Source organism: Homo sapiens, chromosome 19, assembly GCF_000001405.40.
Source record: "Homo sapiens chromosome 19, GRCh38.p14 Primary Assembly".
NCBI lineage: Eukaryota > Metazoa > Chordata > Mammalia > Primates > Hominidae > Homo > Homo sapiens.
Window position 1 is genome coordinate 46,262,038 of NC_000019.10, and position 27,981 is coordinate 46,290,018.

The window sequence follows — 27,981 nt, forward strand, 5'->3', positions numbered from 1 at the left end:
CACAGGGTGTCCAGACCCAGCGGGAGCCGAGGATTCAGGAAAATCTCCCCAGTCAGCTCCAGAGGTGCCCACAGTGTGAGCTCTAGTGTCTCCCAGGTAGAGGCCAAAGCGTCACCTGCCCGGCCCTGGGGGTGGAAGTGGAGTAGACGGCACTCCTATCTGGGCAACCGAGTAAGACCCTGTCTCTGAAGAAGTACATACATTTACTTAGACTCCTCTGTCTTTGTCATATATATACATATATGACATATATGAGATATACATATTATATATATGATATATATATGATATACATATATAAAATGTCATATATATGTGTCATATATATATGACATTTTATATATAGGAGCTCAAGACCAGCCTGGGCAACGTGGCAAAACTCCACCTCTACCAAAACATACAAAAATGAACTGGGCACAGTCGCACACACCTGTAGTCCCAACTACTCAGGAGGCTGAGGTAAGAGGATGACTTGAACCCGGGAGGCAGAGTCGAGCTGAGATCGCGCCACTACCTGCCAGCTTGGGTGACAGAGCCAGACTGTGTCTAAAAACAAACAAACACCAGAAGGCAGTGATTTTTGCCCCAAAGTGATTTAACTCTCCCTAGTCATTATACAGAACAAGAAAAATAAGAACATGAATTAGTCTGGGCGCAGTGGCTCACACCTGTAATCCCAACACTTTGGGAGGCCGAGGCGGGTGGATCACTTGAGGTCAGGAGTTCAAGACCAGCCTGGCCAACATGGTGAAACCCCGTCTCCACTAAAAATACAAAAATTAGCCAGGTGTGATCCCAGCTACTCGAGATCTGGGTAGCTACTGAGGCAGGAGAATTGCTTGAATCCGGGATGTGGAGGTTACTGTGAGCTGAGAACACACCACTGCACTCCAGCCTGGGTGACAGAACGAGACTCCATCTCAAAAGCAAACAACAACAACAAAAGAAAAAGAAGAAGAAAGTGAGTTGACCTGTAATGTGAGAAACGGAAGTTGTAATCATATGTGACTCAGATCACAGTCATATCACTTAAAGTGCTGTTATGGTTCAAGTGGCTTTTAAATAATATTGATTTTCACAGTGGTCAGACCACATCCCTACCCTGGTTAACCCCACTTCATGAAGCAGAGCGTTTGGAGGGGGAGGATGGGAGGAGGAGAGCAGGAACCCAAAACCCTCACGTGGCTGCTCTGCTCAACAAACTGGAAACACCGTCAACTTATTTTGATACAAATCCCTATGACCCATTTTTATTCAAGAATTCTGTCACCTTTGGCTGTTTTTCTGAGGTTTCTCCATAGCACCTTATCCTAAAATTTTCTCTTTTTTTTAATTTTAATTTTAAATTTTTTTTTTTTTGAGACAGAGTGTCACTGTCGTCCAGGCTGGAGTGCAGTGGCGTGATCTCAGCTCACTGTAACCCCTTCCTCCCAGGATCCTCGTGCCTTGGCCTCCCGAGTACCTGGGTTTACAAGTGTGCACCACCACACCCAGCTAATTTTTGTATTTTTAGTAGAGGCGGGGTTTCACCATGTTGGCCAGGCTGGTCTTGAGCTCCTGACCTCAAGTGATCCAAACCCCCTCAGCCTCTCAAAGTGATTACAGGTGTGAGCCACCATGCCCGGCCCTGCTCCTGGAATTTTCTTACAGAATCAGAGCAGACACCATTCCTAGAGGTAGGAAACTATCTCTGCAATTGGCTGTTCTGGAAGCCAGAAACAAAGGACCGGCCAGGAACCCATCTCCCCTGACAATTGTGGAGGAGCAAGTTGAGGACTTTCAGGATCCACAATGCCAGGCAGGAGGGAGCAGCTCTGCCACACAGGGCTGGAGACCCCATCCTCGATGCTCAGCTGTCACTGCCTCGTGCTATTAAGTTGCCACATCCTTGATGGTTTAATGCCCAACTCCAGGGCTGCTTGCTCTGCCTGCATTGGTTGATTCTTCTGGAAAAATAAAACTCTATAATATTTTGATCCAGGGAGCCCAAGGACCATCTTCCCAGCTCTCTCGAATTACGACACAATCCTCGTCCTAACTCCACTAGATTGCCCTGGTTAATGGGGTAATTCTGTGAGAAAACACAGGCGCATCAATATTGCAGTGTCCCTTACAGAAGCGCTGAGAGTAACACTATTGCTTTAGTTGGGGTCCTCATAGAACAGGTGATACCTCATAGAATTTTCTAGTGCTTTCCAATACCTCAATTGATATCATTCAGATTCGGCCGGGCGCAGTGGCTCACGTCTGTAATCCTAGCACTTTGGGAGGCCAAGGTGGGTGGATCACCTGAGGTCAGGAGTTCGAGACCAGCCCAGCCAATGCAGTGAAACCCCATCTCTACTAAAAACACGAAATTTAGCCAGGCGTGGTGGTGTACACCTGTAATCCCAGCTACTTGGGAGGCTGAGGCAGGAGAATTGCTTGAACCCAGGAGGTGGAGTTTGCAGTGAGCCGTGATGGCACCACTGCACTCCAGCCTGGGCGACAGAGACAGAGTGAGACTCCATCTCAACATATATGTATACACACACACATATATATCTCAGATCCTCTAGTGCAAAGTCACATATCTGTATGGGAGCTCCAATAAATTGGAATGCAGAGGTTAAAGGTTAATCAGTTAGCTACACCTACTAGGAACTTTCTCTGTTATAAGGGGTGGTGCCCACCAGGGACTGGTCCCATGGCCAGTTCCCACATATAATCTAACCCTGTATGGGATTTTAGAAGGTGGGAAACAAAGCCTGGCACGGTGACTCACGCCTGTAATCCCAGCACTTTGGGAGGCCCATTCGGGCAGTTCACTTGAGGTCAAGAGTTTGAGGCCAGCCTGGCCAACATGGTGAAACCTGGTCTCTACTAAAAAAAAATACAAAAATTAGCTGGACATGGTGGCCGGTGCCTGTAATCCCAGCTACTCAGGAGCCTGAGGCAGGAGAATCTCTTGAACCGGAGGGACAGAGGTTGCAGTGAGCTGAGATTGCATCACTGCACTCCAGCCTGGAGGCCAAGGCAGGAGGATCACTTGAGGCCAGGAGTTTGAAACCGGCCTAGCCAACATAGCAAGTCCCCATCTCAAAACAAAAAGCAAAACACAATATTTTGACCCAGGCAGTGTGAAGGGGGCAGGTGGCATCTTTTTGAAGATGCCAGAAAATTTGGGACCTCCAAACTTGGACAATGTTAGCAGCTGTCTGAGGCCACAAAATTAGGCAAACCACACTGGAGAAAGAAAATCCTTCGGAAACCTGTTCATTTAGGCAACTGTATGAGTTTCAGCTGAATTTTCTAAATGCCTCTAAATTACATCCTCAGCCTGGAGGGACATCAGAGCTGATTTGACTCACTTGTGGGGCCTGCTTCTGAGTTATTAACGTGGTTATGGCTCCCCCATGTGGTGGAGGGGGGCATATTCATTTTTTAAGTTCCTATTTCAGCCCAGCAGGGTGGCTCACACCTGTAATCCCAGACCTTTGGAAGACCCAGCGATCGCTCGAGCCCAGGAGTTTGAGACCAGCCTGGGCAACATGGTGAAAGCCCGTCTCTATTTAAAACAAAACAAAACAATGAAGTTCTTCCTATTTCTCTCCCTGTCCTTGACACGAGGGGATTCCAACTACTTTTTCTGCTAATCGTCCTTGTACATGAGCATATATACTGACAGGATTTTTACCTGTCCCAAATAATATGCCTTTGGTCCCATCCCCAGACAGGCAGGGAATGAACAGGCCATCTGTGACTCTCGGTCTTGCTCTGTCGCCCAGGCTGGAGTGCAGTGGTGTGATCTCAGCTCACTGCAGCCTCAATCTTCTGGGCTCAAATGATCCTCTTGCCTCACCCCCCCAAGTAGCTAGAACTATAGGCCCGCACCCCCGCGCCTGCCTAATTTTTTTCTTTTCTTTTCTTTTTCATAGAGATGGGGGTCTCACTATGTTGTGCAAGCTAGTCTCCAACTCCAGGCTCAAGCAATCCTCCCACCTCAGCCTCTCAAAATGCTGGGATTATAGGCATGAGCCATTGCGCCCAACCTGGATGTTGAGTTTTTTTTTTTTAAGAAACTGCCAAACTGTTTTTCAGAGCAATGTATAAATGATCCAATTTATCTCCACCCTTGCCAGCTTTCAATGGCGTTGCGGTTTTCAAAATTTTTAGCCATTTTAATTTAATTTGCGTTTCCCTAATGGCTAATGATGTTGAACATCTTTTTATCTGCTTACATGTCATCTGTATCTCTTCCTCATTGAGATGTCTCTTCATGTCTTTAAAAAGTTTTTATTTTCATTTGATTTTTTCATAGAGACAAGGTCTCACTATGTTGCCCAGGCTGGTCTCGAACTCCTGGGCTCAAGCAATCCTCCCACCTTGGTTCCACAAACTGCTGAGATGACAGGTATGAGCCACCATGCCAGATCCTCTTCAGGTCTTTTGCCCATTTTTTTAATGGATTTTTTTTTCACTATTGAGTTTTCACAGTTCTTTACATTTTCTAGATAATTGTCCTTTGTCAGGTATGTGCTTTGCAAATATTTTCTCCCAGACTATAGCCCTATCTGTCCTTCTAACTGGGTTTGTTTTTTGTTTTTTGTTTTTTGGGGGGTTTTTTTGAGACGGAGTCTAGCTCTGTTGCCCAGGCTGGACTGCAGTGGCGTGATCTCGACCCACTGCAACCTCCACCTCCAGGGTTCAAGCAATTCTCCTGCCTCAGCCTCCCAAGTAGCTGGAACTACAGGCGTGCACCACCACACCCAGCTAATTTTTGTATTTTTAGTAGAGAAGGGGTTTCACCACGTTGGCGAGGATGGTCTTGATCTCCTGACCTTGTGATCTGCCCACCTCAGCCTCCCAAAGTGCTGGGATTACAGATGTGAGCCACTGCGCCTGGCCTAACTGGGTTTTTCTTAGAGCAAAAGTTTTTCCTTTTCATAACATCCAAACTATCAATTTTTCTTTTTATGGACTGTGCTTCAGATGTCAAATCTAAGAACTGTTTGCCTGGCCCTAGATCCTAAAGATGTTCTTGTATGTTCGTTTCTAAAATTTTTGTAGTTTTATGTCTTACATTTAAATCTGTGATCCATTTTGAGTTAGTTTTTATATAAGGTGTGAGAGAGGAGAGAGGTTGATTTGTTTTGTTTTGTTTTGTTATTCCTATGGATGTCCAATTGCTCGGCACCATTTGTTAATAAGCTCTCTTCCCTCCATTGATTTCCCTTTGCGCTTTTGTCAAAAATCAGCCGGGCCCAGGCAGAGTGGCTCACGCCTGTAATCCCAACACTTTGGGAGGCTGAGATGGGAGGATCACCTGAGGCCAGGAGTTCGAGGCTGCAGTAAGTCATGATCACTCCACTGCCCTCCGGCCTGGGCAATCCTGTCTCAAAAAGAAAAAAAGTTGCACATATTTGTGTGGGTCTATTTCTGAGTTCTCTATTCTGTTCCTATTCTATTATTTTCTCTATTCCTCTGCCAGTAATACCACACAGTCTTGATTACTGCAGCTAGATGTCTTTAAATTGGGTAGACTGACTCTTGTCACTTTATTCTGGGTTATTTATTTATTTATTTATTTATTTGAGACAGGGTCTCGCTCTGTCACCCAGGCTGGAGTGCAGTGGTGTGATCTCGGCTCACAGCAACCTCCGCCTCCCAAGTTCAAGCAATCCTCCCGTGTCAGCCTCCCAAGTAGCTGGGATTACAAGCGTGCATGACCACACTCAGCTAATTTTTGTAGTTTTAGTAGAGATGGGGATTCTCCATGTTGGTCAGGCTGGTCTCAAACTCCTGACCTCAAGTGATCCACCAGCCTCCGCCTCCCAAAGTGCTGGGATTACAGGCATGAGCCATGGCACCCAGCCAATTCTTCTTCTTTCAAATTGTTTTACACTTTCTAGTTGCTTTGCCATTCCATAAAAAAATTTAGGATAATCTAGTCGATATCTAAAAAAGGAATTGTGTTCAACCTGTGTATTTATTTAGGGGGAAATTGACATGTTTACTATGCTAAGCTTTCTAGTCCATGTACATACTATACCTTTTCATTCTTTTAGAGAGTATTTGATTTATTTTATCAGAGGCTTTTACTTTTCAGGATACAAGTCTGGTACTTTTTTTTTGTTTCATTTTGATTTTTTCTTTCCTTTCCTTCTTTCTTTCTTTCTTTCTTTCTTTCTTTCTTTCTTTCTTTCTTTCTTTCTTTCTCTCTCTCTCTCTCTCTTCCTTCCTTCCTTCCTTTCTTTTTCTTCATTTTTTTTTGACAGGGTCTCACTCTGTAACCCAGACTGGAGGGCAGTGGTGCCATCATGGCTCATTACAGCCTTCACCTCCCAAACTCAAGGAATTCTCCCACCTGAGCCTCCTGAGTAGCTGGGACCACAGGTGCATGCCACCACACCTGGCTAAATTTTTTTTTTATAGAGATAGGGTCTCACTATGTTGCCCACGCTTGGTACATATAATATTGGATTTACACCTAAATATTTCATTGTTAAGCAGTTGTATTTGGTATTGATTTTATCTTTAATTTAGCTGTTTATCACTGATCTATACCAATGCAATTGATTTTGTATGTTTATCTTGTCTATCTCAACCATGGTGAGCTTGCTTGTTAGCTGTAGGAGGTTTTGTGGTTTTTCTGTCTTGAGGTTTTGGTTTTATTTTTTGTTTTTTGGTAGATTCCTTGGGATTCTCTATGTAGACAATCATGTCATTGCAAATAAGGACAATTTTATTTCTTCCTTTCCAATCCCTGTGATTTTTAGTCATATGGTAACTCTATGCTTAATTGTTTGAGAAACCACCAGACTGTTTTCCAAAGTGGTAGCTGAAACGTTTCGCATTCCGCAGGCAATGTATGAAGGCTCTAATTTTTTTTTTTTTAATTGAGATGGAGTCTCGCTTTGTCACCCAGGCTGGAGTACAGTGGCACAATCTTGGCTCACTGCAACCTCCACATCCCGGGTTCAAGCAATTCTCCTGCCTCAGCCTCCCAAGTAGCTGGGACTACAGGTGCGTGCCACCACACCCAGCTAATTTTTTTTTTGTATTTTTAGTAGAGACAGGGTTTCACTGTTTAGCCAGGGTGGTCTCGATCTCCTGACCTCATGATCCGCCTGCCTCGGCCTTCCAAAGTGCTGGGATTACAGGCGTGAGCCGCCACGCCCGGCCAGAAGGCTCTAATTTATCTACATCCTCATCACACTTGTTATCATTCTCACTTTTTAATTCTAGCCAGCCTTGTGGGTGTGAAGAGGCATCTCATTGTGGTTTTGATTTGCATTTCCTTGGAGACTAATGATGTCAAGTATATTTTCATTGCATATTGGCTATTTGTATATCTTTCTTGAAGAAATGTCAATTCAGATCCTTTGACCATTTTTAGTTGATTTATCAGTCTTATTATTGAAGTGCAGGAGTTTTTTTCTATATTCTAGGTACAAGTCCTTTAGGAGATACATGATTTGCAAATAGGTTTTCCCATTCTGTGTGTTATTTTCACTTTTTTGACTGTATCCCTTGAAGCACAAGTGTTAATTCTGACGAAATGCAAATTATCTATTTTTTTCTTTTGTTGTTCATGTTTTTGGTATCGTATCTAAGAATACTGTATTTTATTTTTTTGTTTTGTTTTGAGACTAAGTCTCACTCTGTCAACCCAGACTGGAGTGCAGTGGCACAATCATGGCTCACTGCAACTTCCATCTCCCAGGTTCCAGAGATCCTCCTGCCTCAGCCTCCTGAATAGCTGGGAGTACACCACCACACCCAGCTAATTTTTATATTTTTAGTAGAGACAGGGTTTCGCCATGTTGCCCAGGCTGGTCTCGAACTCCTGACCTCAAGTGATCTGCCCACCTCGGCCTCCCAAAGTGCTGGGATTACAGGCATAAGCCGACGCGCCCGGCCTTCTTGTTTTTATAAGTATTAGTCTTCAGCTTTCCATCTTCTGTCAGGATTTATTAAAAGACTCTTAGATATGAGACAGGAGGATCACTTGAGCTCAGGAGTTGGGGACCAGCCTGGGCAACAGAGGGAGACCCAATCTCTATTTTAAAAAAAAATTTTTTTTTAATAAATTAGCCAGGAATGATGGCATGCACATGTGGTCCCAGCTACTTGGGAGGCTGAGGTGCGAGGATCGCTTGGGCCTGGGAGTTCCAAGTTTCAGTGAGCCATGATCACGCCACTGCTCAGCAGTCTGGGTGGCAGAAAGAGATCCTGTCTCCAAAAACAACAACAACAAGATAAAACAACAAGAAAACATTTACCAGTTTTGTACCCAAGCGAGTTAGAGAAACGCTACACTTGGAGACAAATTCAGGAATCCTTTATTAGCTGGCGACCGAGAGACGGCTAACGCTCGAAATTCTCTCGGCCCCGAAGAAGGGGCTTGATTTTCTTTTATACGTTGGTTTAGAGAGGGGAGGGGGGGAATCTAGCTGTAACAATCTTTCAGAAGTAAAACAGATAAAAAATTAAAAAGACAAATGGTTACAGGAGAACAAAGTATTCCAGGTGCAGGGGCTTTAAATTCATCATAAGGTGATAGGCGTGAGGGCTCTGCCGGACACAAACACGGGGGCTTTATGGCACTATCTCCTGAGCGAATTCCTGGGAACTACGGACATTGATTGCCACAGTACCTTATCAGTTAATTGGACTCTCTGATATGCTGAGAGTCAGCTTACACGAGTTAACTCCTTGAGGAAGGGGGTCGGTAAGGAGTCCTGGATGTCTTGCAAATGAAGGAGCCAAATGGAGTCCGTCCGGTTTTCTCAGCTAAGGGAGAGTCTATTCATATTAAAACAAGGTTAGGTATTACACCAGGACAACAGCAATAACATGAAAGCATTCTTTTATTGAATAAATACTATTCAAGTTCTGTATTTCCATGGATTAGTTAATTAAATCACAAAATCACCTTAAGATGTCAGTCTCGTAAGAAAACTATGGCTCAGGGAGAGAGACAGAAAGAGATTTTCTAAGTGCTGTATGGCAGTGTGAGGAGTTTATCTCTGCAGGGCTTTGGCAACAAATGGAAACTGGTTCTGTTCGGAGATGGGCAACCACGGATGTACGCTGCTCAGATCTTCCTGTAAGAAAGGAAGCCCACTGGCCGGGCGCAGTGGCTCACGCCTGCCTGTTATCCCAGCACTTTGGGAGGCCAAGGTGGTCAGACCACAAGGTCAGGAGATCGAAACCATCCTGGCCAACATGGTGAAACCCCCTCTCTACTAAAAATACAAAAAATCAGCCGGGTGTGGTGTCACGCGCCTGTAGTCCCAGCTACTCGGGAGGCTGAGGCAACAGAATCGCTTGAACCCAGGAGGCAGAGGTTGCAGTGAGCTGAGATCGCACCATTGCACTCCAGCCTGGGGGACAGAGCAGGACTCCATCTCAAAAAAAAAAAAAAAAAAGAAAGAAAGAAAGAAAGGAAGCCCACTGTATGAGTCTGTTCTCACACGCTATAAAGATACTACCTGAGGCTGGGTAATTTATAAACGAAAGAGGTTTTAATTGACTGACAGTTCTGCATGGCTGGGAGGCCTCAGGAAACTTACAATCGTGACGAAAGATGAAGTGGGAAGCAAGGCACATCTTACTTACGTGGTGGCAGGAGAGAGTGAGGAGGGGAAACTCCCAGACACTGATGAAACAACCAGATCTCATCAGAACTCACTCACTGTCATGAGAACAGCATGGGGGAAACTGCCCCCTTGATCCAGTCCCCTCCCACCAGGTCCCTCCCTCCTCACCTGGAGATTACAATTCAAGATGAGATTTGGGTGAGGGGACAGAGCCAAACCATGTCACCCACGGGTCAGCCACAGAGCATAGTTAGCTTTACTTTAGCTGTAATGCCTTCAGGATCTGTCATAGCCTGGGAGACCAGATCGTGCACTTCCTGGCCAATGACCTGGACATTTCTTCCAAACGCAGGACTCCTCAAGTGGAAAATCTTTGTTGTGAAGCACCCTTTGAGGTTTGCCAAGATTTTCTTTCAGCTCTGAATCATAGTCTGAGTATTTTTCTGCCCACCTCAGCTTCTCTCTGTCAAGCAAAACTGACATATCTGGAAAGTAAGAAAATAAACCAGGCCACATGCAGTGGCCCATGCCTGTAATCTCAGCACTTTGGAAGGCCAAGGCCAGAGGATCATTTGAGTCCCAGGGTTTGAGACGACCCTGGGCAACACAGGAAGACCCTATCTCTACAAAAAATGTTAAAAGTTAACCAGGCGTGGTCAAGTGTGCCTGTGGTCCCAGCTGCTTGGGAGGCTGAGGTGGGAGGATCGCTTGAGCCTGGGAGTTGAGGACCAGCCCAGCCTGGGAAACAGCGAGACCCTGTCTCCACAACAAACAAAATAAGTTGGGTGTAGTGGCACACACCTGTAGTCTCAGCTACTTGGGAGGCTGAGGTTGGAGAATCGCTTGAGCCTGGGAGATCAAGGCTGCATAGAGCCAAGATTGCACCACTGAGCTCCAACCTGGGTGACAGAGCAAGACCCTGTCTCAAAAAAAAAGAAGAGGAAGAGGAAGAAGAGAGAAAGAAAGAAAGAAGGAAAGAAAGAAAGAGAGAAAGAGAGAAGGAGAGGGGAGGGGAGGGGAGGGAGAAGAAGAAAGTTCCCTCATCTATCAAGAAACTGGACCTGCCAAAGAGTAACACAGTTGCCTTCCCTGAAATTTCCTTAACCCTAGAAGATTAAAATTCACATCACAAGGCCGGGTGCGGTGGCTCATGCTGGTAATCCCACACTTTGGAAGGCCGAGGTGGGTGGATCGCCTGAGGTCAGGAGTTCAAGACTAGCCTGGCCAACATGGTGAAACCCCGTGTCTACTAAAAATACAAAAATTAGCCAGGCGTGGTGGCATGCGCCTGTAGTCCCAGCTACTCGGGAGGCTGAGGCAGGAGAATCACTTGAACCCAGGAGGCGGAGGCTGCAGTGAGCTGAGATCGCACTGGAGATTGGACTCCAGCTTTGGCAACAAGAACAAAACTCTGTCTCAAAAAAAAAAAAAAGAGAAAGAAAAACTTACATCACAGAGAAAAAGGCTGAAAATAAAACACCACAACTGAAAGCCAGGCAAACTGCATCCCAAACCACTGTCTGCTCTCCATCTTATTCAACTGGCAAAGAAAATTATTTACTAACTTTCACTCGCATCCGTGTGAAGACACCACCAAACAGGCTTTGTGTGAGCAACAAGGCTGTTTATTTCACCTGGGTGCAGGCGGGCTGAGTCTGAAAAGAGAGTCAGCGAATGCAGATAGGAGTGGGGCTGTTTTATAAGATTTGGGTATGTAAAGGAAAATTACAGTCAAAGGGGGAGGTTGTTCTCTGGCTGGCAGGAGTTGGGGGTCACAAGGTGCTCAATAGGGGAGCTTTTGAGCCAGGATGAGCCAGGAGAAGGAGTTTCACAAGATAATGTCATCAGTTAAGGCAGGAACAGGCCATTTTCATTTCTTTTGTGGTGGAATGTCATCAGTTAAGGCAGGAACCGGCCATCTGGATGTGTACGTGCAGGTCACAGGGGATATGATGGCTTAGCTTGGGCTCAGAGGCATGACATTTCTGTCTTCTTATATTAATAAGAAAAATAAAACGAAATAGGGTTGAAGTGTTGGGGCAGTGAAAATTTTGGGGGGTGGTATGGAGAGATAATGGGCGATGTTTCTCAGGGCTGCTTTGAGCAGGATTGGGGTGGCATGGGAACCTAGAGTGGGAGAGATTAAGCTGAAGGAAGATTTTTGTGGTAACAGTTGATATTGTGGGGTTGTTAGAAGAAACATTTGTCATATAGAATTATTGGTGATGGCCTGGGTACGGTTTTGTATGAATTGAAAAAAGAACGGAATAAGACAAGGAGAAAAACAGGTATTAAAGGACTAAGAATTGGGAGGACCTAGGACATCCAATTAGAGAGTGCCTAAGGAGGTTCAGCATAGCCCTGCCAGCAAAGATTATTTGTTTACTTTAAGAGGGAGTTAAGAGTGGCAGTTTGGGGATAGCACCAGGAGATATCCGCTGCGATGGTTTGGAGAAACAGTGTAAACCAGCAGTGTAAACAAGAGCAGGGCATTTATGAGTAGTTGAGAACGGTGAGTAGGAGTTGACTAGACAGAAGATAGTAAGGATGACAAGTTTTTTGGGGCGCAGTCCAAGTTGGTCTGGTGTCTGGAATGAGACTGGGGCCTAATAAAAAGGATTGTCCATACAGGAGTTCAAATGGGCTGTAACCTGCAGCATTTCGAAGACAGGCCCGAATTCTGAGAAGGGAAAGTGATAAAAGTACTGTCCAGTCCTTTTTAAGTTGGTGACTGAGTTTGGTGAGGTGTGTTTTTAAAAGACCATCAGTTCACTGAATACTAAGAGCCTGAGAAACTCCTTGGGTGATTTGACTAATAAAGGCCGGTCTGTTATAGGACTGTATAGAGGTGGGAAGGCCAAACCAAGGAATTATGTCTGACAGAAGGGAAGAAATGACCGTGGTGGCCTTCTCAGACCCTGTGGTAAAGGCATCTACCCATCCAGTGAAAGTGTCTACCCAGACCAAGACGTATTTTAGTTTCCTGACTCGGGGCATGTTGAGTAAAGCTAATTTGCCAGTCCTGGGTGGGGGCAAATCCTCAAGCTTGATGTGTAGGGAAGGGAGGGGGCCTGAATAATCCCTGAGGAGTAGTAGAACAGCAGATGGAACACTGAGAAGTGATTTCCTTGAGGATAGATTTCCACGATGGAAAGGAAATGAGAGGTTCTAAGAGGCAGGCTAGTGGCTTGTACTATAGCATAGCCTGCCTTTGCCGGTGTGTGGCGATTAGGCCTGGTGGAACTGCCATCAATAAACCAAGTGTGACCAGGGTGAGGAACAGGAAAGAAGAAATATGGGGAAATGGGGTGAATGTCAGGTGGATCAGAGAGATGCAGTCATGGGGGTCAGGTGTGGTATCAGGAATAATGTGGGAGGCCGGATTGAAGTCCGGGCCAGGAACAACGGTAATTGTGGGAGACTCAACAAAGAGTGAGTACAGCTGAAGGAGCCGGGGAGCAGAAAGTATATGTGTCAGGTGTGAGGAAGAAAATAGATTTTGGAAATTATGAGAACCATAGAGAGTGAGATGAGCAGAGTTTGTGATTTTGAGGGTCTCTAAAAGTATTAGGGTGGCAGTGGCCGCCACATGCAGACATGAGGGCTAGGCAAAACAGTAAGGTCAAGTTGTTTGGATAAAAAGGGTACAGGACGCGGTCCCAATTCTCGTGTAAGAATTCCGACTGCACAGCCCTGTACTTCGGCTGTGTGTAATGAAAAGGGTTGGGATGAGTCAGGGAGAGCTAGGGTAGGAGCAGTCTCTAAAGCTGTCTTCAAGGAACGGAAAGAGGAGTGGGGAAAGGATTTAGGATCTATGGGGTCAGCTAGGTTTCCTTTTGTGAGTTTATATAATGGTTTTGTTAGGATGGCAAAACCAGGTATCTAAAGTCAAAAGTATCCAACCATGCCTAGGAAGGAAAGGAGTTGTTTTGTAGAAGGTGTTGGGGTTTGAGAGATCAGTCGGACACGATTGGCAGGGAGAGCATGGGTGTTTTTATGAGAATTATGCCAAGATAGGTAACAGATGAGGAAGAAATTTGGGCTTAACTGAAGTAATGGGGGCTGTCTGTGAAGCCTTGCGGCAGTACAGCCCAGGTAATTTGCTGAGCCTGATGGGTGTCAGGGTCAGTCCAAGTGAAAGCGAAGAGAGGCTGGGATGAAGGGTGCAAAGGAAGAGTAAAGAAAGCATGTTTGAGATCCAGAATAATGGGTTGTGGAGGGAGGTATTGAGGATAGGAGAGTATATGGGTTTGGCACCATGGGGTGGATAGGCAAAACAATTTGGTTGATAAAGCACAGATCCTGAACTAACCTGTAAGCCTTGTCTGGTTTTAGGACAGGTGAAATGGGGGAATTGTAAGGGGAGTTTATAGGCTTTAAAAGGCCATGCTGTAGCAGGAGAGTGATAACAGGCTTTAATCCTTTCAAAGCGTGCTGTGGGATGGGATATTGGCATTAAGTGGGGTAAGGGTGATTAGGTTTTAATGGGATGGTAAGGGGTGCATGATGGGTCGCTAAGGAGGGAGGAGAGGTGTCCTATACTTGTGGGTTAAGGTGGGGGGATACAAGGGGAGGATGTGAAGGAGGCTTTGAACTGGGGAAAAGGGCAGCAATGAGGTGTGGCTGTAGCCCAGGAATAGTCAGGGAAGCAGATAATTTAGTTAAAGTGTCTCGGCCTAATAAGGGAACTGGGCAGGTGGAGATAACTAAAAGGAGTGCTTTAAAGAGTATCGTCTAAGTTGGCACCAGAGTTGGGGAGTTTTAAGAGGTTTAGAAGCCTGGCTGTCAATACCCACAACAGTTATGGAAGCAAGGGAAACAGGCCCTTGGAAAGAAGGTAATGTGGAGTGGGTGGCCTCTGTATTGATTAAGAAGGGGACGGACTTACGGTGCACTGTGAGAGTTACCTAGAGCATCTGTGACGGTCCAGGAGGCTTCTGAGATGATCGGGCAGTGTCAGTCTTCAGCTGCTAAGCCGAGAAGATCTGGGAAGGAGTCAGTCAGAGATCCTTGGGCCAGAGTTCTAGGGGCTCTGGAAGTGGCTGCCAGGTGAGTTGAACAGTCCGATTTTCAGTGGGGTCCCACACAGATGGAACAGAGCTTGGGAGGAATCCCAGGCTGTGGGCATTCCTTTGCCCAGTGGCCAAATTTCCAGCACTTGTAGCAAGTTCCTGGGGGAGGAGGTTCTGGAGGAACCCCTGGCTGCTGCGGTTCAGGCATTTGGAGTTCTTGCGTGCTGGAGATGTGGCTGGGGTTTCTCTCACAGTGGAGGTAAGGAATTGCAACTCAGAAATATATTGTTACTTAGCTGCCTATACTTTATTATTGTACACATTGAAGGCGAGGCTAATTAAGTCCTGTTGCGGGGTTTGAGGGCCGGAATTTAATTTTTGGAGTTTTATTTAATGTCAGGAGCAGACTGGGTAATAAAATGTATATTGAGAATAAGACGGCCTCTTGACCTTCTAGGGTCTAGGGCTGTAAAGCATCTCAGGGTTGCTGTCAAACGAGCCATGAACTGGGCTGGGTTTTTATATTTCATGAAAAAGAGCCTAAACGCTATCCAATTTGGGATAAAGAAAAAGGAACATTAACCTGGACTATGCCTTTAGCTCCAGCCACCTTTTTAAGAGGAAATTGCTGGGCAGGTGGGGGAGGGCTAGTCACAGAACAAAACTGTAAGCCGGACCAGGTGTGAGGAGGGGAGGTGATAAAAGGATTGTAGGGTAGGGGAGCAGAGGCTGAGGAAGAATTGGGACCTAGCTCAGCCTGGTGAGGAGCAGCCTTGGGGAGAAGGGGAGAGGTCAGATGGGTCTGTAGAAAAGGAAGATTGGAAAGAGGAAAGACTCAGCAATGCTTGGGGTTGGGACTGAGGGACAGGCAGCAGGGAAAGAAGGAAGATTTAGGACGAGTTGCATTGGGAACAGAGACTAGGGAGGGACCGATGTGTAAAAGAATGCCTGGACATCAGGCACCTCAGACCGTTTGCCCATTTTACGGCAAGAATTATTTAGATCTTGTAGGATGGAAAAATCGAAAGTGCTGTTTTCTGGCCATTTAGAGCCATTGTCAAGTTGGTATTGGGGCCAAGTGGTGTTGCAGAAGAAAACAAGGGGTTTAGGTTTTAGGTCAGGTGTGAGTTGAAGAGGTTTTAAGTTTTTGAGAACACAGGCTCAGGGAGAAGAGGGAGGAATGGAGGGTGGAAGGTAGCCCATAGTGAAGGAGGCAAGCCCAGAGAAAAGAGAGAGTAGAGACACAGAAGGGGTGGGGGGTGATTACCCCCCAGGAAAGTGGAGAAGGGGTAGAGACATGGAGAGAAGGGGTTGGGGGGTTCTTGCCCCCCAAAAAAGTGGTACTTGCTGCTAAGGGTGAAGGACCAAGGCAGGCATCCCCACATGGTCAGACACCTCTGAAATGTGGGTGAATAATCAGGCAGGCGTCCCCACACAATTAAACACCAAGGGAAGACTGTCTTCCCGAGTCTGTGACTGGTGCCGGAGTTTTGGGTTCACGGATAAAACGCGTCTCCTTTGTCTCTACCAGAAAAGGAAAGGAACTGAAATTAAGAGAAGGGAGAGATTGAAGTGTGAAGCCAAGATTGAAAGGAGAAAGAGGTTGAGGGATAGTGAGAGGGGTTGGAGAAGAGAGTAAAAAGAGACCGCTTACCTGATTTAAAATTGATGAGATGTTCCTTGGGCTGGTCAGTCTGAGGACCTGAGGTCATAGGTGGATCTTTCTCGCGGGACAAAGAGCAGGAGGACAGGGGATTGATCTCCCAAGGGAGGTCCCCCGATCGGAGTCATGGCACCAAAATATTTCACTCGCGTCCGTGTGAAGAGACCACCAAACAGGCTTTGTGTGAGCAACAGGGCTGTTTACTTCACCTGGGTGCAGGCGGGCTGAGTCGGAAAAGAGAGTCAGGGAACGGAGATAGGGGTGGGGCCGTTTTACAAGATTTGGGTATGTAAAGGAAAATTACAGTCAAAGGGGGAGGTTGTTCTCTGGCTGGCAGGGGTGGGGGTCACAAGGTGCTCAGTAGGGGAGCTTTTGAGCCAGGATGAGCCAAGAGAAGGAATTTCCCAAGATAATGTCATCAGTTAAGGCAGAAACAGGCCATTTTCACTTCTTTTGTGGTGGAATGTCATCAGTTAAGGCAGGAACCCGCCATCTGGATGTGTACGTGCAGGTCACAGGGGATATGATGGCTTAGCTTGGGCTCAGAGGCCTGACACTAACCATTGTCTGAGCATTAGGGCCATTCATTTCCCCCTAAAAATCACTGAATATCACGCAAATTGCCATATTTCCCCCATGTCCCCTTCCCCTATGAAAAAGGCTAAGAAGTATCTGTACCCCATTGGGTTATTGGGTAATCAGTCTCCTGTGAGTCCCCTGGGCAATGCATGTTAAAAATACATTTATATGCTGCCTTCTTCTACTAGTCTGCCTTTTGTCACTTCATTTTCAGTGAACCTTCAGAGGGTGACTGAGGATGTGTTCCCTCTTTGCCCCTACACAGCCAAAGTGGTTAACATCTCCCCCGAAATCCTTTACAGGCATACAAAAATCATATTACAAACCCTCCATTCCATCCCCAGTTCATACCCCAGCCACCTCCTCTATCTGACCCTCACACATCAATCTGCCTGAATCACTCAGGGCCAGGTACTGGACCACTGAAGACCAGCCGCGCATTCTTGAGTCTCTGACATCATTCAAAGCGGCCAATCCTGAGCTGTTTCCCCTTCCCTGCCTTGCCTTTCCCATGGAAACCGCAATAAAGGCCCTGGCCTAGGCTTTCCCTCTCTCTCCCACCTGCTGACCGAACCTGGTGCTTTCCCCTGCATGGCATGGCATGCGCCCGTCTCTCAGGAAGTGTAGGTAATCAATTCTTTCAAAGGCATCAACTTCATGTTGTCACTCAGTCACTTCCAGAAGATTAAATCTCATAAAGGCCGGGTGCAGTGGCTTATGTCTGTAATCCCAGCACTTTGGGAGGCCGAGGTGGGTGGATCACTCCTGAGGTCAGGAGTTCGAGACCAGCCTGGCCAACATGGCAAAGCCCCGTCGCTACTAAAAATACAAAAATTATCCAGGCGTGGTGGCACGCACCTGTAATCCCAGCCGCTCGGGATGCTCAGGCAGGAAAATCGCTTGAACCCAGGAGACAGAGGTTGCAGTGAGCTGAGATCATGCCACTGCACTCAGCCTGGAGCTAGACTCCGTGTCAAAATAAATAAATAAATACATCTCATGAGAAGAACTGAGACAACTCCCACCTTTCTCTCAGCATCTGCTCCCTGTAGGAGCCAAGCTGATCCAAGAGATTGATCCAATAAGTAATCATATTGAGGATAACGGAAACCCGGGTTAAAACCATAAAGGCCAGGCCAGGTGCAGTAGCTCACACCTGTAGCACTTTGGTAGGCTGAGGCAAGAGTATCACTTGAGCCCAGGAGTTCGAGACCAGCCTGGGCAACATAGTGAGACCCTGTCTCTACAAAAAGACAAAGTAAAAATTAGCCAGGTGTGGTGGCATATGCCTGTGGTCCCAGCTACTCAGGAGGCTGAGGCAGGAGGATTGTTTGAGCCCAGGAGATCAAGGCTGCAGTGAGCCGAAATTGCATCACTGCCCTCCATCCTGGGAGACAGAGTGAGACCTTGTCTAAAAGAACTTTAAATTATGTGATGTGAAATGTTTAAAACAGTTTCTGGCACATAATCTTTCAATGAATTGGAGATATTAGTATGTAAAATCTAGCTACTGGTGCTGGGTGTGGTGGCTCACACCTGTAATCTCAGCACTTTGGGAGGCCAAGGTGGGCGGATCACTTGAGGTCAGGAGTTCGAGACCAGCCTGACCAACATGGAGAAACCCCGTCTCCATTAAAAATACAAAATTAGCCGGGCATGGTGGCGCATGTCTGTAATCCCAGCTATTCGGGAGGTTGAGGCAGGAGAATCACTTGAACCCAGGAGGCGGAGGTTGCGGTGAGCCGAGATGGCATCATTGCACTCCAGCCTGGGCAACAAAGAACGAACCTCTGTCTCAAAAAAAAAAAAAAATTTGCTGGGTGTGGTGGCACCCGCCTGTAGTCCCAGCTACTTTGGAGACTGAGGCAGGAGAATCACTTGAAACTGGGAGGCAGAGGCTGCCGTGAGCCAAGATCGCGCCACTGCACTCCAGCCTGGGCAACAGAGCGAGACTCCGTCTCAAAAAAAAAAAAGGAGAAAGAAAAAGAAATCAGGCTACTAAAATATGTAGCCAATGTGACCCTCATATGTAAGTATAGTATCAGAGTCATCCTAATTTCTGCCACGAGAGGGCGTGTCAGGCTTAGTTAGGGCTTAGCTGCCAGCAGCTCCCAAATGATGGTCTCAGAACTCCTTAATTTTATTATTATGATTACTATTATTAGTATTATTTTGAGGCAGGTCCACACTCTGTTGCTCAAACTGGAGTGCAGTGGTGCAATTGTGGCTCACTGCAGCCTCAAACTCCTGGACTCAAACGATCCTCCCACCTCAGCCTCCCGAGCAGCTGGACTATGCTGTGTAGGCCACCACACCGGCTAATTTTTTCATCCTTGATAGAGATGGGGGTCTCACTATGTTGCCCAGGCTGGTCCTGAACCCTTGGCCTCAAGCAGTCTTTCCACTTTAGTGTCCCAAAGTGCTGGGATTACAGGTGTGAGCCACCGCCCCCAGTCATGTTTGGATTTTTTAAGTGACATATCGGCCGGGCACAGTGGCTCACACCTGTAATCCCACCACTTTGGGACGCTGAAGTGGGAAGATTGCTTGAGCTCAGGAGTTGGAGACCAGGCTGGGTAACAGAGCAAGACCCTGTGTCTACAAACAATTTTAAAAATTAGCTGGACGTCGTGGCGTGCACCTGTAGTCCCAGCTACGGAGGAGGCTGAGGTAAGAGGATCACTTGACCCAGGAGGTTGAGGCTGCAATGAGCCATGATCACACTGCGCCACTGCACTCCAGCCTGGGCGAGAGAGTGAGACTCCATTAAAAAAAAAAAAAAAAAAAGTACCACATGTCTATGGCACATATAATGTAACGCCCCAACTGGGTTCAGGATAGTTCCTGGAATCAAACACATCAACATTTATGCAATGAAATGAGGGCTATTCACAGAAACGTGGAGTAAATATAGAAGATTGCCAAAATAGCCTTGTGTTAGTTCAGGTCAAGTTTTGCCACCAAATAAGTTATACAACAATCTCTACCTTTTCAGAGTTATTTGGAAGTTGGAATTGTGTGTGGATGGGGGGGTGTTTGTTTTGTTTTGTTAAGACGGAGTCTCGCTCTGTCGCCCAGCCTGGAGTGCAGTGGCGTGATCTTGGCTCACTGCAACCTCCACCTCCCAGGCTCAAGCGATTCTCTTGCCTCAGCCTCCTGAGTAGCTGAGACTACAGGCACGCACCACCGTACCCGGCTAAATGTCATATTATTAGTAGAGACAGGGTTTCACCACGTTGGCCAGGCTGGTCTCAAACTCCCAACTTCAGTTGATTCACCCACCTTAGCCTCCCATAGTGCTGGGATTACAAGCGTGAGCCATCACACCTGGCCGGAATTGTGGCTGATGAAGGGTGAGCCTCTCATTTCTCATAGATAAGAGGTGTCCTGCCAGGTCAAAGCTTGAATGCAATTCTGCTCACAGACATACAGAGTCAGATATCCCTTCTTTTGATGAATTAAAAGTTTGTATTTAAGGTGAATAAGACAATATTCAGTCAAAAGTCTGTTTTTCTTTAGAGTCAACATTTTGAAATAAGAACTAAATAAGAGCGTTCCTATGTCTATGTAGACTACGGCAGAAGCCAAGGCTGAGTGATCAGCATAGATCATCTGAGATTCAAATACCATGAGAGGGGTAGACGTGGGCCATACAATTCTCTGAAGTGGAGAACTTTCCCAATATCAGCTTCTGCCCGAAAGAGGGTGCTACGTTCCTTTGATCCATGTGTAACAGTTGCTTTCCCAGAAAAGTCAGAGTGAGTTAAAATGCTACAGGCCAGGCGCAGTGGCTCACGCCTGTAATCCCGGCATTTTGGGAGGCCGAGGCAGGCGGATCACTTGGGGTCAGGAGTTCGAGACCAGCCTGGCCAACATGGTGAAACCCCATCTCTACTTAAAAAAAAAAAAAAATTAGCCGGGCATGGTGGCGGGCGCCTGTAATCCCGGCTACTGAGGAGGCTGAGGCACAACAATCACTGGAACCCAGGAGGCAGAGGTTGCAGTGAGCCCATATCGCGCCACTGCACTCCAGCCTGGGCAACAGAGCAAGACTCCATCTCTAATCTAAATAAAATCAAATAAAGTAAAATAAAATAAAATAAAATGCTGCAGCCAGGCACAGTAGCTCACACCTGGTAATCCCAGCATTTGGAAGGCTGAGGCAGGAGGGTTGCTTAAACCTAGTAGCTTTGTTTATTTTCTTTCCTTAAGACAGCAGAAAAGGTGATTTATTTATTTCTATTTATTTATTTGAGAACTACAGGTGCAGACTACAGGAGCGCAGCACCACGCCAGGCTAATTTTTTGTATTTTTAGTAGAGATGGGGTTTCACTATGTTGGTCAGTCTGGTCTCAAACTCCTGACCTTGTGATCTGCCCCCCTCGGCCTCCCAAAGTGCTGAGATGACAGGTGTGGGTCACCACGCCCGGCCTATTTTATTTATTTATTTATTTTGAGACAGAGTCTCACTCTGTCACCAGGCTGGAGTAAAGTGGCATGATCTCAGCTCACTGCAATCTCCACCTCCCAGGTTCAAGCAATTCTCTGGCCTCAGCCTCTCGAGTAGCTGGGACTACAGGCATGCACCACCATGCCTGGCTAATTTTTTTTTCTTCTTCTTCTTCTTATGCTTGTTTCCTATCAGCTGATTTTTGTATTTTTTGTAGAGACAGGGTTTTGCCGTGTTGCGCAGTCTGGTCTCCAACTCCTGGGCTCAAGCGATCCACCTGTTTCGCCCTCTCAAAGTGCTGGGATGACAGGTATGAGCCATCAGGCCCAGTCAGAGCCTAGAATTTTAAGTCCAGCCTTGGCAACATAGTGAGAACCCATCTTTACAAAAAAACAATTTAAAAATTAGCCTGGTGTGATGGCATGCGTCTGTGGCCCCAGCTACTCTGGAGGCTGAGGCAGGAGGATTGCTTGAGCCCCGGAATTTGAGGCTGCAGTGAGCCATGATCACACCACTGCACTCCAGCCTGAGCAACAGAGTGGAAAAAAAAAAGGTGCAATGTTCTTGTTGTTTCTATCTAAGATGGCCTGCCATGATTGTTAACAGATTCTTCCTGTACAAGAGGACTTGAACAGGATACAGGAAACCCCTCCTTGCCAGAGCTATGCGTGCATCGCACAATGCCTGGAGTCCCTGGCTTCAGCCACTAATTACCGGAAGCTCCATAAGTTTGCAAATACCTCCCAGCTTCCAAGAGCTACTCACTGAGCCCTAAAAAAGGTGCCTGCAGGAGAGGTGAGGGTGCAGGGCCTGGGAGGGGCCCCTTGGCCACCCAGAGTCTGTAGAGAGTTTCTCCTCCTGGGAGACGCTGAGGCCACCAGCAGGGGACTAGGGCCACAGTCTCCGTCACACCGCTGTCCAGGGCAGTCACCTGCATCAGCATCAAGTAGACATCAGCATCTGCACAGGGAACCGTGACATATACGAGACCTTTGCGTACATGCATGTGATGACCATAAACATGAGTTCAGCATTCAAGGTTTGTTTGTTTGTCTGTTTTTTGAGACGGAGTCTTGCTCTTTGCTCTTGTCACCCAGGCTGGAGTGCAGTGGCATGATCTCAGCTCACTGCAGCCTCCGCCTCCCGGGTTCAAGTGATTCTCCTGCCTCAGCCTCCTAAGTAGCAGGGATTACAGGTGTACACCACCACCCCTGGCTAATTTTTGTATTTTTAGTAGAGACAGGGTTTCGCCATGTTGGCCAGGCTGGTCTCAAACTCCTGACCTTGTGATCCACCTGCTGCGGCCTCCCAAAGTGCTGGGATTACAGGCATGAGCCCACACCCAGCCCAGCACTCACATTTTATTAAAGGCAGCTGCTCTTCTTTAAAGAACCCCAGTGTGTACAGGTGTCAGTATCAGTCACTATCGGCACCAACATGCGTCCACGTGCCGTCATCGGTAACCATGCTACTATCAAGGCACGCCTAAGGCTAAGACACAGATCTTAACACGATGGCATGTACTGACACATGTAGTTGTCAGAATTCACATGGGTGGATACTGACTTGTGTGTTGATGGCAGCTAGTGACATGACACCTGCCTGTGTGCCATTGACACATGCATGGGCATATATAGATGTGGGCACACGCATCTACACTCGGTGTGAAAGTGTCCATCTGAGCCCCATACATCCACCCTCCAGGCTGGAGCCCCTCGATGGGCTGAGGCCATTCTGATTAAGTTGTGTCCCGGTATCTGGCAGAGAACAGACGCATCATAAACGCTTGAATGAGGGCCAGGCTTGGTGGCTCATGCCTGTAATCACAGCATTTTGGAAGGCTGAGGTGGGTGGATCACATGAGGTCAGGAGTTGGAGACCAGCCTCGCCAACATGGTGAAACCCCGTGTCTACTAAAAATACAAAAATTAGCCAGGCGTGGTGACGGGCACCTGTAATCCCAGCTACTCAGGAGGCTGAGGCAGGAGAATCCCTTGAAGCTGGGAGGCAGAGGTTGCAATGAGCTGAGATAGGGCCATTGCACTCCAACCTGGGCAACAAGAGCAAAACTTCATCTCTAAAAAAATAAATAAATGCTAGAATGAGGCTGTGTGCAGTGTCTCACACCTGTAATCCCAGCACTTTGGGAGGCCAAGGTGGGAAGATTACTTAAGTCTGGGAGTTTGAGACTAGCCTGGGCAACATACTGAGATATCTTCTCTATCTAATAAAAAAATTAAATGCTTGAATGAATGAATAAATGGCAACAAATACTTTGAACAGACGAGGGCCAGGCACTGTGATAAGCACTCACATGCCTGATCTAATTAATCCATACCACAGTCTCTATGGGTAAGAACTAATGATCCCACTATACAGATGGGAAAAACTGAGTCATAAAGACAGGATGTAGCTTTCCCAAAGCCATATGCCACGTAAGTGACAGAGCCTGGATTTGACCCAGGTCTCTCAAACTCAAAAACTAATGTTCTTAATCACTGCCCCATCCTCGTTATGATGGGACAACCCTCTCTCCCAATTCCTGGATTCCTGGGACACACCACCAAACTCCTTCCAGTGCAGGCGCTCAGCAAGCTACAAGAAAGTAAGACAGCCTTTCATCATCAAAACAGAGGAGGCCGGGCGCGGTGGCTCACGCCTGTGGTCCCAGCACTTTGGGAGGCCGAGGCGGGCAGATCACGAGGTCAGGAGATTGAGACCATCCTGGCTAACACGGTGAAACCCCGTCTCTGCTAAAAATACAAAAAATTAGCCGGGCATGGTGGTGGGTGCCTGTAGTCCCAGCTACTTGGGAGGCTGAGGCAGGAGAATGGTGTGAACCCGGGAGGCGGAGCTTGCAGTGAGCCAAGATCGCGCCACTGCACTCCAGCCTGGGCGATACAGTGAGACTCCGTCTGAAAAAAAAAAAAAAAAAAAAAAACAGAGGAGAAAAGAGAGAAACTTTAAACCCAACGAAGCTCAGAAGTTCTGTGTCAGGGCTGGGTGAGGTGGCACATGCCAGTTATCCCAATGCTTTGGAAAACCAAGGTGGGAGGCCAGGATTTGAAGACCATCCTGGACAACACAGCGAGACCCCATCTCTACAAAATAAAAATTAAAAAATTAGCCAGGCCCTGTGGCATGCACCTGTAGTCCTACCTACGTGGGAGGCTGAGGTGGGAAAATCACCTGAGCCTGGGCAGTGAAGGCTGCAGTGAGCCATGATCACACCACTGCACTCCAGCCTGGGCAACAGAGTGAGATGCTGTCTCGAAATGATAATATTAAAGAGCTACCTGAAAAAATAAAAAATTCAGTTCCTCAGTCACACTCACCACATTACAGGTGCTCAGTAGCCACATGAACAATTTAGATACAGATCATTTCCATCATCATAGAAAGTTCTGTTGGACAGCATGGTCTAGCATGGGTGTCCAACCCTTTAAATGGACTGACTCTTCTGCTTATCTTTTTTTTATTTGTCTGTTTTTTGAGACAGGGTCTCACTCTGTGGCCCAGGCTGGAGTGCAATGGCATGATCTTGGCTCACTGCAACCTCCGCCTCCCAGGTTCAAGCGACTCTCCTGGCTCAGCCTCCTGAGTAGCTGCCACCACAGGCGTGCGCCACCACACCCAGCTAATTTTTGCATTTTTGGTAGAGACGGGGTTTCTCCATCTTGGCCAGGCTGGTCTCAAACTCTTGGTCTCAAGTGATACAACCACCTCCTTTTTTGCTTATCTGTGGTAGTAGATATCACGAAAATTATACACAGACCTTTTGAGACAGAGTCTTGCTCTGTCGCCAGGCTGAAGTGCAGTGCCGTGATCTCAGCTCAATGCAACCTCCATCTCCTGGGTTCAAGCAATTCCCCTGCCTCAACCCTCAACCTCCCGAGTAGCTGGGACTACAGGTGCACGCCACCATGCCTGGCTAATTTTTTGTATTTTAGTAGAGACAGGGTTTCACCATGTTGGCCAAGATGGTCTCCATCTCCTGACCTCAGGTGATCTGCCCGCCTCAGCCTCCCAAAATGCTGGGATTACAGGCATGAGCCACCACGCCCAGCCATGGACCTTTTTTTTTTAAGCGATCACCTATCATTAGGGTATTTTATGTGAGATCCAAGACAATTCTTCTGCTTCCAATGTGGCCCAGGGAAGACAAAAGTTTGGGCACCCGTGATAGTCTACCCCAGTCTATATATGATCGATTCTTCTTTATGGCATTGTTTAACATATTCCTCTGTTCCCTGCCTTTCCTGTACACCAGTAGTTACACGTGGAAGCCGAATAATTTCAGGTTCAATTATTTTGGTGAAAATACTTCCTAGGTCTGCATCCTTCCACCAGCAGACACATCAGGTCTCGTCTTTATTGTGTGAGACTCACATCCTATTGGCCACAGGAAGTCACATGACCAAGCCTGACATCAGTGAGTCAGGGAATGTATTTGACATACTCAAGAGGACCTGTAAAGTCACATGGTACAGTCATGGATGTATAATTCTATAACAAGGAGGAAGTGGAGATTTGGAAACAATAATTCAAGCTACCATGAGGGCGTTTTTGTTTTGTTTTGTTTTGTTTTTTAATCAAATGAACTTTTCAGAAATGACTCGGTCAGATGCGGTGGCTCACGCCTGTGATCCCAGCACTTTGGTGAGGCCGAGGCAGGCGGATCGCCTGAGGTTGGGAGTTCGAGACCAGCCTGACCAACATGGAGAAACCCCATCTCTACTAAAAATACAAAATTAGCGGGGCATGGTGGGGCATGCCTGTAATCCCAGCTACTCGGGAGGTTGAGGCAGGAGAATCGCTTGAACCCAGGAGGCAGAGGTTGCAGTAAGCCGAGATCACAGCACTGCACTCCAGCCTGGGTAACAAGAGCGAAACTCTGTCTCCAAAAAAAGAAAAAGAAATGACTTACGCCTGTAATCCTAGCACTCTGGGAGCTGAGATGGGAGGATCGCTTGAGACCAGGAGGTCCAGACCAGCCTGGGCAACATGGCAAGACCCTGTCTCTACAAATAATTTTAAAAATTAGCTGGGTGTGGTGGTCTGCGCCTGTGGTCCCAGCTACTCAGGAAGCTGAGGCAGGAGGATCACTTGAGCCCTGGTCAAGGCTGCAGTGAGCTGTGTTCATGCTACAGTACTCCAGCCTGGGCGACAGAGCAAGATCCTCTCTCAAAAGAAGGAAATAAGCCAGATGCAGTGGCTCACACCTGTAATCCCAGCACTTTGGGAGGCCAAGGCAGGCAGATCACCTGAGGTCAGGAGTTCGAGACCAGCCTGGCTAACATGGTGAAACCCCGTCTCTACTAAAAATACAAAAATTAGCCGGACATAGTGGCGCACACCTGTAATCCCGGCTACTCGGGAGGCTGAGGCACGAGAATTACTTGAATATGGGAGGCAGAGGTTGTAGTGAGCTGAGATTGCCATTGCACTCCAGACTGGGCAACAGAGTGAGACTCCATCTCAAAAAAAAAAAAAAAAAAGAAATGAAGGAAGGAGGAAGGAAGGAAGGGAAGGGGAAGGGAAGGAAGAGAGACAGAGAGAGAAGGAGAGGAAGGGAGGGAGGGAGGGAGGGAGGGACGGACAGACGGACGGACGGAACTAACTCTATGAGTCACAGAGAGGTTAAGTAATTTGTTCAAGGTTCTGCAGCTGGTAAATGATGGGATTAGAATGCAGGCAGCCTGGCTCCAGAGTCCACTATAGGAAAACATTGGAGCCCACTTAATGGGGCTGCTGTGACATTCCAATGTGAACAGGAATGCCAAGGGCTCAGGACAGCGCTTGGCACAGGATCTGTGCATCATGCTTGGAACTGGTGCTGTTTATTTCCATCACCTGATTCTGGGTTGGCCTTGGCTTGGGTTTGGAGGGATTTTCTGCCCCTGGCAGTGTTCCAGGGGTGGCAGCTGGACTTTTTAAATCCAAGGACCTTGTTAGGAGTCAGAGTTGGGCAAGGGGAGACTGGAGATAAAATCCGATCACAAGAGGTAGCTATGAATAGGTCAGGAGCAATTCTCCCCAGCCTTGAGCAGTAGGGAGGATGAGTCAACAGAAGTGAACTCACCCTTCCTACTTGTTATAGAATTATACATCCATGACTGTACCATGTGACTTTACATGTCTTCTTGAGTATGTCAAATACATTCCCTGACCCACTGAGGTCAGGGTTGGTCATGTGACTTCCTGTGGCCAATAGGATGTGAGTCATACCCAATAAAGATAACCAGACCTGATGGTAAGTAGAATATCCATGAAGATGTGCAGGAGACCATGGCCAGCAACACTGGCTTATCAGAACTGGGTTCATGCACAGGTCTGAGTTTTTGTTGCTGAACCCTCTTTCCCTGTCAATAAGACAAGCATTTATTCCCCAGTATCCCAAGGCCTATGACTCCACCTCCAGGCTGCCACTCATAGGTGGAGCTCACCTGGCACCTGCGGCTGGAACATCTACTTATCACCTTTCCATGTGGCTCCTTGGGCTTCCTCACATCATGGCAGCTAGGTCCCAGGGGCTATGGGACCTAGCTAGATATTGTGCTTCATAGCTAGATACGGTGCTATGAAGAGTGTGGCAGTTGACATTTCCTGGAAATGGTCACAGTAATATTTTGAGTCTCACATGCTCTCCCTTGTGGTAGCTTGCCCCTCCCATCAAAAGGCAGAGTATTTTC

The 27,981-nt window shown here is 47.1% G+C and overlaps 3 annotated features.

Annotated features, from left to right (window-relative positions):
• Nucleotides 441–1,640: an enhancer, noted in NCBI's record as "P300/CBP strongly-dependent group 1 enhancer chr19:46765735-46766934 (GRCh37/hg19 assembly coordinates)". NCBI's record gives its function as "activates an origin of replication core promoter dependent on BRD2, BRD4, P300/CBP, MED14 and CDK7 cofactors, with strong dependence on P300/CBP, by STARR-seq in HCT116 cells {active_cell/tissue: HCT116}" and the evidence as "EXISTENCE:reporter gene assay evidence [ECO:0000049][PMID:35650434]".
• Nucleotides 3,275–3,569: an enhancer, noted in NCBI's record as "tiled region #13463; K562 Activating DNase matched - State 12:CtcfO". NCBI's record gives its function as "activates a minimal TATA promoter and a strong SV40 promoter by Sharpr-MPRA in K562 cells {active_cell/tissue: K562}" and the evidence as "EXISTENCE:reporter gene assay evidence [ECO:0000049][PMID:27701403]".
• Nucleotides 9,163–9,876: an enhancer, noted in NCBI's record as "H3K27ac-H3K4me1 hESC enhancer chr19:46774457-46775170 (GRCh37/hg19 assembly coordinates)". NCBI's record gives its function as "activates a minimal SCP1, AML or CMV promoter by ChIP-STARR-seq in primed H9 embryonic stem cells {active_cell/tissue: H9 hESC(primed)}" and the evidence as "EXISTENCE:reporter gene assay evidence [ECO:0000049][PMID:30033119]".